Source organism: Homo sapiens, chromosome 1 (assembly GCF_000001405.40).
Source record: "Homo sapiens chromosome 1, GRCh38.p14 Primary Assembly".
In the NCBI taxonomy this organism is placed as follows: Eukaryota; Metazoa; Chordata; class Mammalia; order Primates; family Hominidae; genus Homo; species Homo sapiens.
In genome coordinates this window covers 202,861,748-202,875,605 of record NC_000001.11, presented here as the reverse complement: position 1 = coordinate 202,875,605, position 13,858 = coordinate 202,861,748, and the positions used below count along the sequence as shown (strand labels likewise).

Genomic DNA, 13,858 nt, shown 5'->3' with positions numbered 1-13,858 from the left:
TAGTCCCAGCTACTCAGGAGGCTGAGGCAGGAGAATGGCGTGAACCCGGGAAGTGGAGCTTGCAGTGAGCTGAGATCCCGCCACTGCACTCCAGCCTGGGTGACAGAGTGAGACTCCGTCTCAAAAAAAAAAAAAAAAGTTAAATGCCTGACTCTACTTCCTCACTTCTAAGGATGATAAATTTCATAAGAATAAGGACTCAGAATATCCTATTTGCTCTTGGTGCATGGCCTAGTGTCTGACAAATTTATAATAGTTCAGTAAATAGTTTTGAAGAGAATTTAAAATAAACTCTGCTGAGTAGTGTTATCATTTTAATGGGACTAATTTAAAGAAGTTCATGCAGACTTTTGAAAATGGAGCTAGAGGTTAGAGCGAATTATATTTATTTTTTGGTTTACTGCAGCACTTTATTTTTCCTTATGTAAATAACAGTGGAAAACCAAAATTTGTGGTCATCTCTTTAAAAATTGAGAATTATGTACAAAAAACTTACATAAATTAAAAGAATGAATAAATTTACAGGTGTAAATGTAAACCGCTTCTAGCTCAAGACTTAACACTAATAGACCAGCAAGACAGAAATGAAACTGGTTCAGGAGCTCTTGCCAGGCTCTAGAAAAATCCTGGAATGGCTGGGCACAGTGCATCACCTAAGGTCGGGAGTTTGAGACTAGCCTGACCAACATGGAGAAACCCTGTCTCTACTAAAAATACAAAATTAGCCGGGTGTGGTGGCGCATGCCCGTAATCCCAGCTACTTGGGAGGCTGAAGCAGGAGAATCACTTGGACCCAGGAGGCGGAGGTTGTAGTGAACCGAGGTTGCGCCATTGCACTCTAGTGTGGGCAACTAGAGCGAAACTCTGTCTCAAAAAAAAAAAAAAAAAAGGAAAATCCTGGAACACTGAGCTCTCTGACACCTTAGTACCTGCACAGATAAGGAGACTGCAGGTCACACAGACCCACCAAGCCACAGACTTCCCTCCCACAAGCATGTCCTCACCTCAGCCATGAAGTTACTGAGCCACATGTACTAAGGGTATAAATCAAAGATATGTACAGGGTATTAAACAAATACCAAGGGAACGGTTAACAAAGTCAAAATCAGCACCAAGTTCTACAATCCGGTGCTGATATACAAGCTTCAAGGACCAGTTCTTTTGAAAGGCTTATTCTGGTTTATTGAGGCTAGCATGAGGTGTATGCATTTGCCAGGGGCAAATTTATACTTCTGCATTAATCCATGAAGCACATGACACGCGTCTGCTTGCAGTCCATTTAGAAGCATTTGCAGTGGGTGATGCAGGGGCTTGATTCATCCTACTCCTGCTTGATGATCCACATCTGCTGGAAGGCGGCCAGGATGGTGCTGCCAATCCACACAAGGACTTGCGCTCAGGGAAGGTGATGATCTTCTTGGAGCTGGGCACCAGGGTCGTGATCTTCTGCATCATGTAGGTGATGCCCAGGTACACGGGGGTGTCACCAGACAGCACCATGTTGGCAAACAGGTCCTTGCGGATGTGCACATCACACTTTATGGAGTTGAAGGTGGCCTGGTGGATGCCACAAGATTCCATACCCAGGAAGGAGGCCTGGAACAGCGCCTCCAGACACTGGAACCACTTGGACAGCTCCTAGATCTTCTCCAGGGAGGAGGAGGACGCTGTGGTGGCCATTTCCGCAGCTTCTCCTTGATGTTGCACAAGATCTCCCGTTTGGCTGTGGTGGTGAAGCAGTAGCTGGGCTCCCTGAAGATCTCCATGGGGTGGTTGGTCAGGTGCCAGTCATCCAGACGCAGGATGGCATGGGGGAAGGCATAGCCCTTGTAGACGGGCACCGTGTGGGTCTCAGCTGTGTATGATAATACCAGTGGTGTAACCAGAGGTGTACAGGGACAGCACAGCCTGGATGGCTGTGTACCTTGCTGGGGTGTTGAAGGTCTCAATCCGAGTCATCTTCTTTCTGTTGGCCCTGGGGTTCAGCGGGGCCTCAGGCAGCAGCACTGGGTGCTCCTTGGGAGCCACGTGCAGCTAATCGTAGAAGGTGTGGTGCCAGATCTTCTCCATGTCATCCCAGTTGGTGATGATGCGGTGGTCCACGGGGCACTTTCAGGGTCAGGATGCTGCACTTGCTCTGGGCCTCATCACCCAGGTAGGAGTCCTTCTGGCCTATGCCCACCATCATGCCCTGGTGCCAGGGATACCCAGTGATGGAGGGGAACATGGCTCGGGGAACTATACCCAGCAAAGCCAGCTTTGCATGTGCTGGAGCCATTGTCAATGACAAGTGCCATGATCTCTTCTTCCATTGTGATCAGCCGAGGAGCAGGCAGTGGAGTGATAGGAGAACCCAGAGTGTGGGCTGGTGGTGAGTGGGTGAGTTACATTTCTGATACAGGAATAGTCGGGGAGCCAGGTGTGGCAGTTCACACCTGCAATCCCAGCACTTTGGGAGGCCAAGGCAGGAGAATTGCTTGAGTTCAGGAGCTTGAGTTTACAGTGAGCCAAGATCACACCACCGCACTCCAGCCTGAGTACCAGAGACTCTGTTTCAAAAAAAAAAAAAAAAAAATAGAACAGGTACTGTACTTTTTTTCAATGCTGTTTGAAAAAGACAGTGAAAACAGTTATACAGGTTAGTGAGAGAGTATTTCAATGTGGTCGTGACCATGGCTAAGTCTTCAGAGGGTGAGGGAATAAAGATATTAACCTCAGCAGGTGCTAACCTTTTTTTTTTTTTCTTTTCTTTTTTTTTTTTTTTAGAAAGAGTCTCCCTCTGATGCCTAGGCTGAGTGCAGTGGCGTGATCTCCACTCACTGCAACCTCCACCTCCCAGATTCAAGAGATTCTCGTGCCTCAGCCTCCTGAGTAGCTAAGACTACAGGCATGTGCCGCCACGCCCAGCTAATGTGCTAACCAACCATTCAATTAAGACCAAGATTTTCTTGTGTTTGGAAAATTAAATTCCTGGAATCTGTAGGTGTCAGAATTTAGAGTTAAGTGGCAGGAGTGACCATCAAATTCACCTGAAGTCAGTTGAAACTTAGAAGGCATTTTGCCTTGGAGAGAAACAATGGATGTTGAGTAGTTTTTAACCTATGACACAAGCCCATATGTGTACCGGAAGCACAGCACCATAACAAACAATGCTAATGCTGAATGCCAGGAGCAAGGCCTCTGCTGCTGTGAGGGCAGGGTCCCTTCACAATCCAAACCTGGTGACCCCAGACAGTCTATTTCAAGTTGGGGATCAGGATAAACTCTGACTTACATAATGATAGGGAAACTACTGAGGAGATAGAATGTGGGCTGGGAACACTTACTGCCTCAAGGAGGTAAGAGGAGAGTGAGCAACTCCATGGGTTTATACATCATCCCTTCTCCCCTGTGTCCTGAATGGGCCCTGAAATGAGATGTAAAATAGGGATTGGCTGGAAACTGGGGGTTCTGTCCTAGGGAGCAGTTGCCTGAGTCAAAGGGGAAATAAATTTCAAGCTAAGACAGTAAGAAAAGAAAGCTCATATCGACACTCAGCTTGGGCAACTGTTCTAAGGTATTTGTAAGAAATTCCAGGGCAAGCGAGGTAGCTCACACCTGTAATCCCAGCACTTTGGGAGGCTGAGGTGGATGGATCACCTGAGGTCAGGAGTTCAAGACCAGCCTGGCCAACATGGTGAAACCCCGTCTCTACTAAAAATACAAAAAAATTAGCTGGGCATGGTGGTGGGTGCCTATAATCCCAGCTACTTGGGAGGATGAGACAGGAGACTCGCTTGAACCTGGGAGGCGGAGGTTGCAGTGAGCCGAGATCGCACCATTGCACTCCAGCCTGGGTGGCAGAGCGAGACTCAGTCTCAAAAAAATGAAACAAAATAAAATTTAAAAAGAAAGAAAGAAATTCCGCCGTTTGAAAGCCAGGTACTGCCTGTACAGTCTTGGCACTGGCTCAAGAATAAATCCTGAAACATAGTCCTGGTCTATCACTGTTTACCTTGATTCTTCACCACTAGGTTAACAGGATATTCTTGTTCCCATAAAAGCCTCTCCATCGAACTTCTTTTATCCTTCCCTTGCCCAGACTGATGGGTGTTACTTCAATTCACAGTGTCACTTCATTGCTATGTGGTGGAGGAGGATGGGGAGGATATATAGAGAGAAAGGATGCAGGTTTATCAGGATACTTTGGATTGCTTTAAAACTAGAGTTGACCATGGGGTTAAGGAAACAGGAGCATGGAAAGCCAGGGTGACACCATTTTAAAATCAACTCCAGCTTAAAACCAGCAAGGCACATTCCTTGCCAGTCACGACCCATGGCCATAAGATGTTTTGAAGCTGTTTTAGTAATGCCTGCAAGAACAAACTCCTATGACAGCAGAACGTCCAGCTGTCCCAATATTGCATAACAATATATGTTTTAAAAATAGTTATAGTTATGCTTTGATGTACTTACTCAAATGCCAAGGATAACTTTCTTTTCTTTTCTTTTTTGAGACGGAGTTTGGCTCTTGTCACCCAGGCTGGAGTTCAGTGGCGTGATCTTAGCTCACTGCAACCTCTGCCTCCCGGGTACAAGCGATTCTCCTGCCTCAGCCTCCCAAATAGCTTGGAATACAGGCGCACAAACTGCTGGCATTACAGGCATGAGCCACTGCACCTGGCTGAGATTTTGTTTTTCTTATACAATTCAGTCAGTTCTAGATAAAATGGAAACATTAGAGAATAATTTGACACTGAGAAAAAAAATGTGAAAAAGGCTTCTTAAAAACCAAACTTCCAGCCGGGTGTGGTGGCTACCGCCTGTAATCCCGGCACTTTGGGAGGTCAAAGTGGGTGGATCACTTGAAGCCAGGAGTTTGAGACCAGCCTGGCCAACATGGTGAAACCACATCACTACTGAAAATACAAAAATTAGCCTGACATGGTGGTGCATGTCTGTAATCCCAGCTACTCGGGAGGCTGAGGCAGGAGAATTGCTTAAGCCTGGGAGATGGAGGTTGCAGTGAGCCATGATCACACCACTGCACTCCAGCCTGGGCCACAGAGTGAGACTCCATCTCAGAAACACCACCACCAACAACAAACAAACAAACACAAACCCTAAAAAATCCAAACTTCCATAAAAACTTTAACAAAAATTTTGGTCCATAGCTTTCCTTGGATTACTTGATGGATGTCTGAGTTATATCCAATTAAGAAAAGTTTATGATACGGAAAAACATGTTTCTAGGATTGTGGAATGGTTTTCTCTATAAAATGCTTCTTAAGTTTTCAGATTCACAGACAAGTGAGTGCCCTTTGCGTTCCTTCCCTTCCCTGTGTTGTTCCTTTTCCTGCTGAGCCTTCTGAGCCCCAGGAGTCATGGGATGCTCATGTTTCTTTATATTCACTGGGAACTGGGGGTTAGAGGCCCCTACCCAGGGCTGTTGGATAAATTGAGGTTCAGAGGCATATTTGCCAGCACCTATTGGTTCTCAGTCCCCCTTGTCCCCTTTCTCAGCTGCATATTTGCTGTCTATGCCTCGCTAGTGACACACGCGATCCTCGGCTTGTATGCCCTAAGCTTACGCCTGTCATTTTCCTTCTGGTCATGATGGTTTTCATTCTTTGGGTTGTTTAATTCAGCATCTCTCTGGGTGGCATTGGAGGGCAAAAGCCTCCTGAGAACTAGTCTTATTGAGAAAAAGAATAATGTTGTCTAATTCAGAAGCCATCTAAGGGTCAATTCAAATTATGGACTTGAAAATGGTTACTTGGGCTGGGCGCGGTGGCTCACGCCTGTAACCCAGCATTTTGGGAGGCTGAGGTGAGCGGATCACCTGAGGTCAGAAGTTCAAGACCAGCCTGACCAACATGGTGAAACCCTGTCTCTACTAAAAATACAAAATTAGCTGGGCGTGGAGGCGCATGCCTGCAATCCCAGCTACTCGGGAGGCTGAGGCAGGAGAATTGCTTGAACCCGGGAGGCGGAGTTTGCAGTAAGCTGAGATGGCACCATTGCACTCCAGCCTGGGCAACAAGAACAAAACTCCATCTCAAAAAAAAAAAAAAAGAAAGAAAAAGAAAAAAAGAAGAAAATGGTTACTTGGCTGGGTGTGGTGGCTCACACCTGTAATCCCAGCACTTTGGGAGGCCAAGGCAGGCAGATCACCTGAGGTCAGGGTTCAAGACCAGCCTGACCAACATGGAGAAACCCCCTCTCTACTAAAAATACAAAATTAGCTGGGCATGGTGGCGCATGTCTGTAATCCCAGCTACTCAGGAGGCTGAGGCAGGACAGACACTTGAACCCAGGAGGCGGAGGTTGTGGTGAGCCGAGATCGCACCATTGCACTCCAGCTTGGGCAACAAGAGCGAAACTCCGACTCAAAAAAAAAAAGGTTACTTATGGCTGGGCACGGTGGCTCATGCCTGTAATCCCAATACTTTGGGAGTCCGAGGCAGGAGGATCACCTGAGGTCACAGGTTGGAGACCAGCCTGGCCAACATAGTGAAACGCCGTCTCTACTAAAAACACAAAACTTAGCCGAGCATGGTGGCAGGCGCCTGTAATCCCAGCTACTCAGGAGGCTGAGGCAGGAGAATCGCTTGAACCCGGGAGGCAGAGGTTGCAGTGAGCCGAGATCATGCCACTGCACTACAGCCTAGGCGACAGAGCAAGACTCCATCTCAGGGAAAACAAAAAAAAGCTGGGCGTGATGGCTCATGCCTGTAATCCCAGCACTTTGGGAGGCCAAGGTGGATGGATCACCTGAGGTTGGGAGTTCAAGACCAGCCTGATCAACATGGAGAAACCCCATCTCTACTAAAAATATAAAATTAGCTGGATGTGGTGGTGCATGCCTATAATCCCAGCTACTTGGGAGGCCGAGGCAGGAGAATCGCTTGAACCCGGGAGGTGGAGGTTGTGGTGAGCCAAGATTGTGCCATTGCACTCCAGCCTAGGCAACAAGAGTGAAACACCATCTCAAGAAAAGAAAATGGTTACTTATGAAAAAAGGTAGAAAGGAACCAGTAAATAGGGGAGAGAGATGAGGAAAGTTTTGGAAATGAAGATGTATTTTTGGTAAGGCAAGTTATAAAGAGGATAATTTTATATAAAAAAAGGTAGCCGGGCATGGTGGCTCACACCTGTAATCCCAGCACTTTGGGAAGCCGAGGCAGGCAGATCACCTGAGGTCAGGAGTTCAAGACCAGCCTGGCCAACATGGTGAAACCCCATCTGCACTAAAAATACAAAAATTAGCCGGGAGTGGTGGCACGTGCCTGTAGTCCCAGCTACTCGGGAGGCTGAGGCAGGAGAATAGCTTGAATCCAGGAGGCAGAGGTTGCAGTGAGCCGAGATCGTGCCATTGCACCCCAGCCTGGGGGACAGAGTGAGAGACTCTGTCAAAAAAAAAAAAAAAAAAAAAAAGCTTTAACCCTTTAAATCTCAGTTTTTTTAGTAACCAAAATCCTAATAAACATAGCATAGGAATTATCTTGATAAAACGTAAACTCTTGGAGTTTTATTTTCTTGTTTTTTTGTTTTGTTTTGTTTTTTGTTTTTTTTGAGATGGAGTTTTGTTCTTGTTACCCAGGCTAGAGTGCAATGGTGTGATCTTGGCTCACTGCAACCTCCGTCTCCTGGGTTCAAGTGATTCTCCTGCTTCAGCCTCCCTAGTAGCTGGGCTTACAGGCATGCGCCACCACACCCAGCTAATTTTGTATTTTTAGTAGAGACGGGGTTTCACCATGTTGGTCAGGCTGGTTTCAAACTCCTGACCTCAGGTAATCCACCTGCCTCAGCCTCCCAAAATGCTGGGATTAGAGGCATGAGCCACTGTGCCCAGCCTGGTTCATTTTTTAATACTGCCTCTGGCATACCTTGACAAAAAAGGAGGAATATAAACTAAAAAATAAAACCCTAAGCCCCCCAACAGAGCAGACCCCCCTCTTGGCCAAAGAGAATTTTAAAAATACCCTGAAAAAGGCCAGGTGTGGTGGCTCACACGTGTAATCCCAGCACTTTGGGAGGCCGAGGCGGGTGGATCACGAGGTCAGGAGATCGAGACCACCCTGGTTAACATGGCGAAACCCGGTCTCTACTAAAAATACAAAAAATTAGCCGGGCGTGGTGGCGGGCGCCTGTAGTCCCAGCTATTCAGGAGGCTGAGGCAGGAGAATGGCGTGAACCCAGGAGGTGGAGCTTGCAGTGAGCTGAGATCACACCACCGCACTCCAGCCTGGGTAACAGAGCAAGACTCCATCTCAAAGAAAAAAAAAATACCCTGAAAAACTAGTTCAGGTTATGATGGGAAGCTGGGGGTCAGACATACCTCACTACACATTTCCCCTCTTGGGATTCAGATACAACTGGCCAGCATTAACATTAAAATAGAAATCATAAAACTTACAGAACAGATTATTTATGGCAATAAGATATCAAACTATAAACAGGATCTATGACCAGGTGTGGGGTTAAGTCTTCACCGCAACGTAAACAGAGTCATATGTTACATGCATGTTTGTTCAATATACCTGTGTCAGGCAGGCCACTGCCATAAATATTCGTAGCTCCCCTATTCAACCAGGAGACTTAGTCTTATTAAAAACTTGGAAAGAAGGCTGGGCACAGTGGCTCACGCCTGTAATCCTAGCACTTTGGGAGGCTGAGGTGGGTGCATCACCTGAGGTCAGGAGTTCAAGACCAGCCTGGCCAACATGGCAAAACCCCGTCTCTACTCAAAATACAAAAATTAGCCAGGTGTGGTGGTGGGTACCTGTCATCCCAGCTACTCAGGAGGCTGAGGCAGGAGAATCATTTGCACTGGGAGATGGAGGTGGCAGTGAACCAAGATCATGCCACTGTACTCCAGCCTGGGTGACAGAGGAAGACTCTGTTAAAAAAAAAAAAAAGAAAAAAAAAAAAACCTTGGAAAGGAGGATCTCCCCAAAATCAATTACAACTAAAATGAAAGGGCCCTTATTGGGGAGTATTGTTAAGCACGGCACCCCCACTGCTGTTAAGCCTCGGGGACTCACTAGCTGAGTACACCTGTCCAAGATTAAACCTGTTTTTTACAAGTCCCCACAGGCACCTGAGAAAGACACCACAACCTACACTTGTGAACCCCTAGAAGATCTAAAGCTGTTGTTTTGCAAAGAAAGAGATAAGTAACATCCTCAGTCCCTCCTACAGGTACTCAACCTTCTTAACAACTCCCATCCCATACAGGTTTGCACCCCCAACGGATTATACCTGTGGCTATGTGGTCATCCATTCAATCAGCCTATAAATAACTTGTCTCTCATTTGGGATCATGGAAACCCATGGATACACAGTGTATTGATAATGTTTGGTTCGGGGGTCAATGTATAATAGAACAAGCAAAGCTCTTTAATATATAATTACATAACATCACTCACCTGAGAGCTAAGCAGGCAGCTGGCCTTATATTGGCTGGAGTTGGGGCTGCCAGTGGTTTATTGGCCCCGTAGGGAAAATTTGCCTATCCCAAGACAACTCTTCAAAACTTTACTTCATTCTACAGACTGTCTTATAAAATGGGGGAGGCTTTAGATAAATCAAAACTCTTCCTTGATTCCTTAGCAAATATAGCAATGGATAATAGATTAGCACTACATTACTTATTGGTTGAACAAGGGGGAGTATTTGCACTATAATCAATAAACCCTGCTGCACTCGTGTAAACACCTCCAGTCAAATAGAAGAAGATCTACAGAAAATATATGAACAAACTGCCTGGTTGCATAAATATAACCAAGACATCAATCCCTAGTTCATTACTAGGTAGCTTTATTTTAATCATTGATATGCCCGCCTTCAGTTGGATGCAACATTTGAGTTGTTTTGCTAGGGGTAGTGACAGGCAATGAATAGTGACAGGCCATGTCTTAACTGATCAACCATTAAAAGTGCCCTTGTGGCGAGGCATGGTGGCCCACGCCTGTAATCCCAACACTTTGGGAGGCCAATGCAGGTGGATCACCTGAGATCAGGAGTTCAAGACCAGCCTGGCCAACATGGTGAAACCCTGTCTCTACTAAAAATACAAAAAATCGGCCACCTCGTATCTCCTCATTCCCGACATGTCCTGGGCTCCGAACGTCTCCTGGGGAGTGGCATGATTGAATCAGGGATTCCCTAGCCCCAGGTCCCCTTCTCCGTCATGCTCAGGACGAGGCTGCCCAGTTCTCAGGTGCAGGACAACGGACAGAACTCAAAGTCATCCCTCTGCTCACCTGAGACAAATGAACGTCTGATTGCTTCTTCTGCCCTATTGTTTATGCAAAAATGCAGATCCACTGAGCCAGACTAAGGCATCAGCGTGACTATTCCTTTACTCCCCACTCCATATAAATTGTGTATTCAGTGAAAGGCTGATCAAAGACCCAAAAGAATGCAGCCTTTTGTCTCTTATCTACCTATGACCTGGAAGCCCCCACTTCGAGTTGTCCCGCCTTTCCAGACTGAACCAGTGTACACCTTACACATATTGATTGATGTCTCATGTCTCCCCAAAATGTATAAAACCAAGCTGTGCCCCGACTACCTTTAGCACGTGTTGTCAGAACCTCCTGAGGCTGTGTCATGTCATGAGTGTGTGCTCAACCTTGGCAAAATAAACTTTCTAAATTGATTGAAAAAAAAAATCAGCCAGGTGTGGTGCAGGCACCTGTGATCCCAGCTACTTGGGAGGCTGAGGCAGAGAATTGCTTGAACCCAGGAGGTGGAGGTTGCAGTGAGCTGAGATCATGCCATTGCACTCCAGCCTGGGCAACAGAGCAAGACTCCATCTCAAAAAGATGCTCCCTCCTGAGTCTCACTGTTTTTTTTGCCCTTCTTAGGACCTTTGATAGCTGTCTGGTTATTACCAATCTTAGCACCTTACTTGTTTAACTCCTAGTGAAGTTTGTGTCTTCTAGATTACAATTCTACATAATGCTGGCACAAGGCTTCCAGCCCATCCCATTTTCTGACCCAGGAAATAAAGACACCTTTGGGCCCATAGATGGGGCAAACAGATAATTTTTACTTCTCCAATCTTATGCCCATAAAATCAGCAAGAAGAAGTTACAGAAGAATGACCTTCACACCTCATCTCTCCTTAAGATTAAGAGATCTCTTATAAATCGAGGATTATGTTAGGGAAATAGGAGCATAGGAGAGCCAGGTTGATACCATTTTAAAAAACAATTCCATCTAGGGGCCGGGCACGGTGGCTCACGCCTATAATCCCAGCACTTTGGGAGGCTGAGGCGGGCGGATCACGAGGTCAGGAGATCAAGACCATCCTGGCTAACACAGTGAAACCCCGTCCCCACTAAAAATACAAAAAATTCTCTGGGTGTGGTGGCGGGCGCCTGTAGTCTCAGCTGCTCAGGAGGCTGAGGCAGGAGAATGGCGTGAACCCGGGAGGCGGAGCTTGCAGTGAGCCGAGATCACGCCACTGCACTCCAGCCTGGGTGACAGAGCGAGACTCTGTCTCAAAAAAAAAAAAAAAAACAACTCCATCTAAAACCAGCAAGGCATATTCCTTGCCAGTCACCACCCGTGGCCATAAGATGTTTTGGCTAAGGGAGCAGTTTAGTAATGCCTGCGAGGACAAACTCCTATGACAGCAGAATGTCCAGATGTCCTGACATTGAGTAATAATATATGGTTTTAAGATAGTTATAATCATGCTTTGAGGTACTTACACACTCAAATGCCAAGGATAACTTTCTTTCAATCAACAAACTCCTAAATTGTCATGCTGTCAGCCCACCAGCATGTAGACATAACTTAGCTTTAACATGGTTAAGACCCCTACATAAGAAGAGTTTAAAACAGGGATGGCACGTTCCTCCTCTTGCTTTCTAAGGACACCTTACTCTGTAACTGAGTAGCTTTCAATAAACTACCTCTTACTGTGCACTCTGTGACTCGCCTTGAATTCCTTCCTGCGTGAGATCCAAGAACCCTCTCTTGGGGTCTGGATTGGACCCCTTTTTCCAGCAACAATGAGACTCTTTGAATTTTGGAATATTTTAAATTCCTGAAGAGGTATGTGAAAATGGTGTGCCTGTAATGGCAAAGGAGTTAAGTAGGGTGATATAGAGTAGAGGAGGAGGAAAAGTTAGAAATAAAACTCTAAGATAGAAGGCAGTCTGGATAATAGAAATAACTCCAAACAGCTTATAAGAGGATTAGTTTTCATCAGTTTGATGTAAAGAAGTGCACTGCCAATGGCGGGGATGGGGGATTGTGCAGCTTCCATAAATAACACTGAATGTCACTGTTTCAAATGTATTTATAATCCCTGGGTTAGAGTCAACTCAGGAATGGAAAGACATTTTTAACTGGCTGACTCTACCAGCAGGTGGAATGAGTGCTTCATGAGGTGAGGCAAGCAAGAGATGATAGTGTTGAGTTTATGATGTTTTGAGTTTATTACTAGGTAGCTTTATTTTAATCATTGATAGGCCTGCCTTCAGTCGAAGGCAACAACTCAAATGCAACATTTGAGTTGTTTTGCTAGGGGTAGTGACAGCCAATGAATAGCCGTGTCTTAACTCTATATACATGAGGTTTCAAAGCACTTATTTGGATGTTTGCCCACATTCTCTCACCTTATCCCCTAACCAGAGGCGTCTACTTTAGAGCTGGCAGCCTCATGAAGCCCATTAACAAGGATTGAGACCAAAGAATACTTTACAGACTTTGAAGTTAACCTCTGCACTCTGGACTTAAACCTTCTTGAGTCACCTGACCAAGCATTTCGTTTCAAAACATTTCAGGAAAGTTTTGAATGACATGGCTAGAGTCTTGTGTAAAAATGGGTGCAGGCATCCAGGGGACAGCTGGTCTGATGTCACAATGGCCAGTGACAGGGTCTTCCTGAGTTCTATCAGCAGAAAGTCATATCAGCTGCAGATTTTCCTCAGGTAATTCAAGTCTCCAAGCCTGATTCTATACAAACTGGATGCAATCACCTGTCCACTGGGAAGTGGGGATGAAGAGGAGATGGCGATGCTTTGGGTTCCTCCGGAATGTGCCTCACAAATACTAAGGGTAATCACTGGGCGGGGTGGCCAATCATTTGATAAACCAAACACCAATTAACCCTCCCAAAAAGAAAGGAGCTAATTTGTTACACTTAGATATTTCGAAGTAAAACGTCTCAGCTAAGGAAAAGTTTGGAAAAAGGGAAAAGTATGTGAATGCTCTTTAGCATGGAACAATATGAAACCACCACTGGAAAAAAATAATGCACAAGTAACATCTAAGTACTGCTCAGAATGCTGCAGTGATCACATCACTCCTCTGCTCAAAACCCCTCGATGGTTTGAAATTATATGCCAGGGAAATTATATGCAAGCTCTCCAGCCTAGCATTGAAGGCCCCACGCCTCCTTTTCACCTCCACCCTACAGGCCCTCCTCAGTCTGCTTTGGCCAGCCCGGACCCCTTGCTCTTGCAGGAACCCGAGTCACCTGAACCTGAGCAGTTGCTCCGGTCAAAAGGGAAGTAAACGTCAACTACCGGCGCCTGCAATGTCCTTTCCCATGCCTGTTTGCCTATCCTACCCACCCCAGCCGCATTTTGTCCCGCTCTGGAAACTCCCAGCAGTCGGTTCTCATCACAGCATCTTTCCTTCTGCAGTGGTTGCTGAACTTAAGTATGCACCCTTCTCCAAGGCCGACACACTTTTCGAATCAGGTCAGCGGTGTCACTGGTGCAAAGTCCTAAAACTAAAACAGAATGAGGGTGTTTCCCCCAAAGATTCCACCTCGTAGACCCAGCACTCACCCCAATAGAGAAGACGGTCGAGCTGGCCGGGAGGACGCGGACGCCCGACTCTGCCTCCCTTT

General features: G+C 46.2%; 1 pseudogene across 1 annotated transcript; it reads right to left on the bottom strand.

Annotated features, from left to right (window-relative positions):
* Positions 1-364: 364 nt before the first annotated feature.
* On the bottom strand, positions 365-13,852 carry ACTG1P25 (actin gamma 1 pseudogene 25; annotated as a pseudogene). The gene is made up of 3 exons (NR_002929.2): positions 13,797-13,852; positions 3,327-3,406; positions 365-2,549 (listed from the first exon to the last, which is right to left on the bottom strand). The product of NR_002929.2 is annotated as an actin gamma 1 pseudogene 25 (transcript).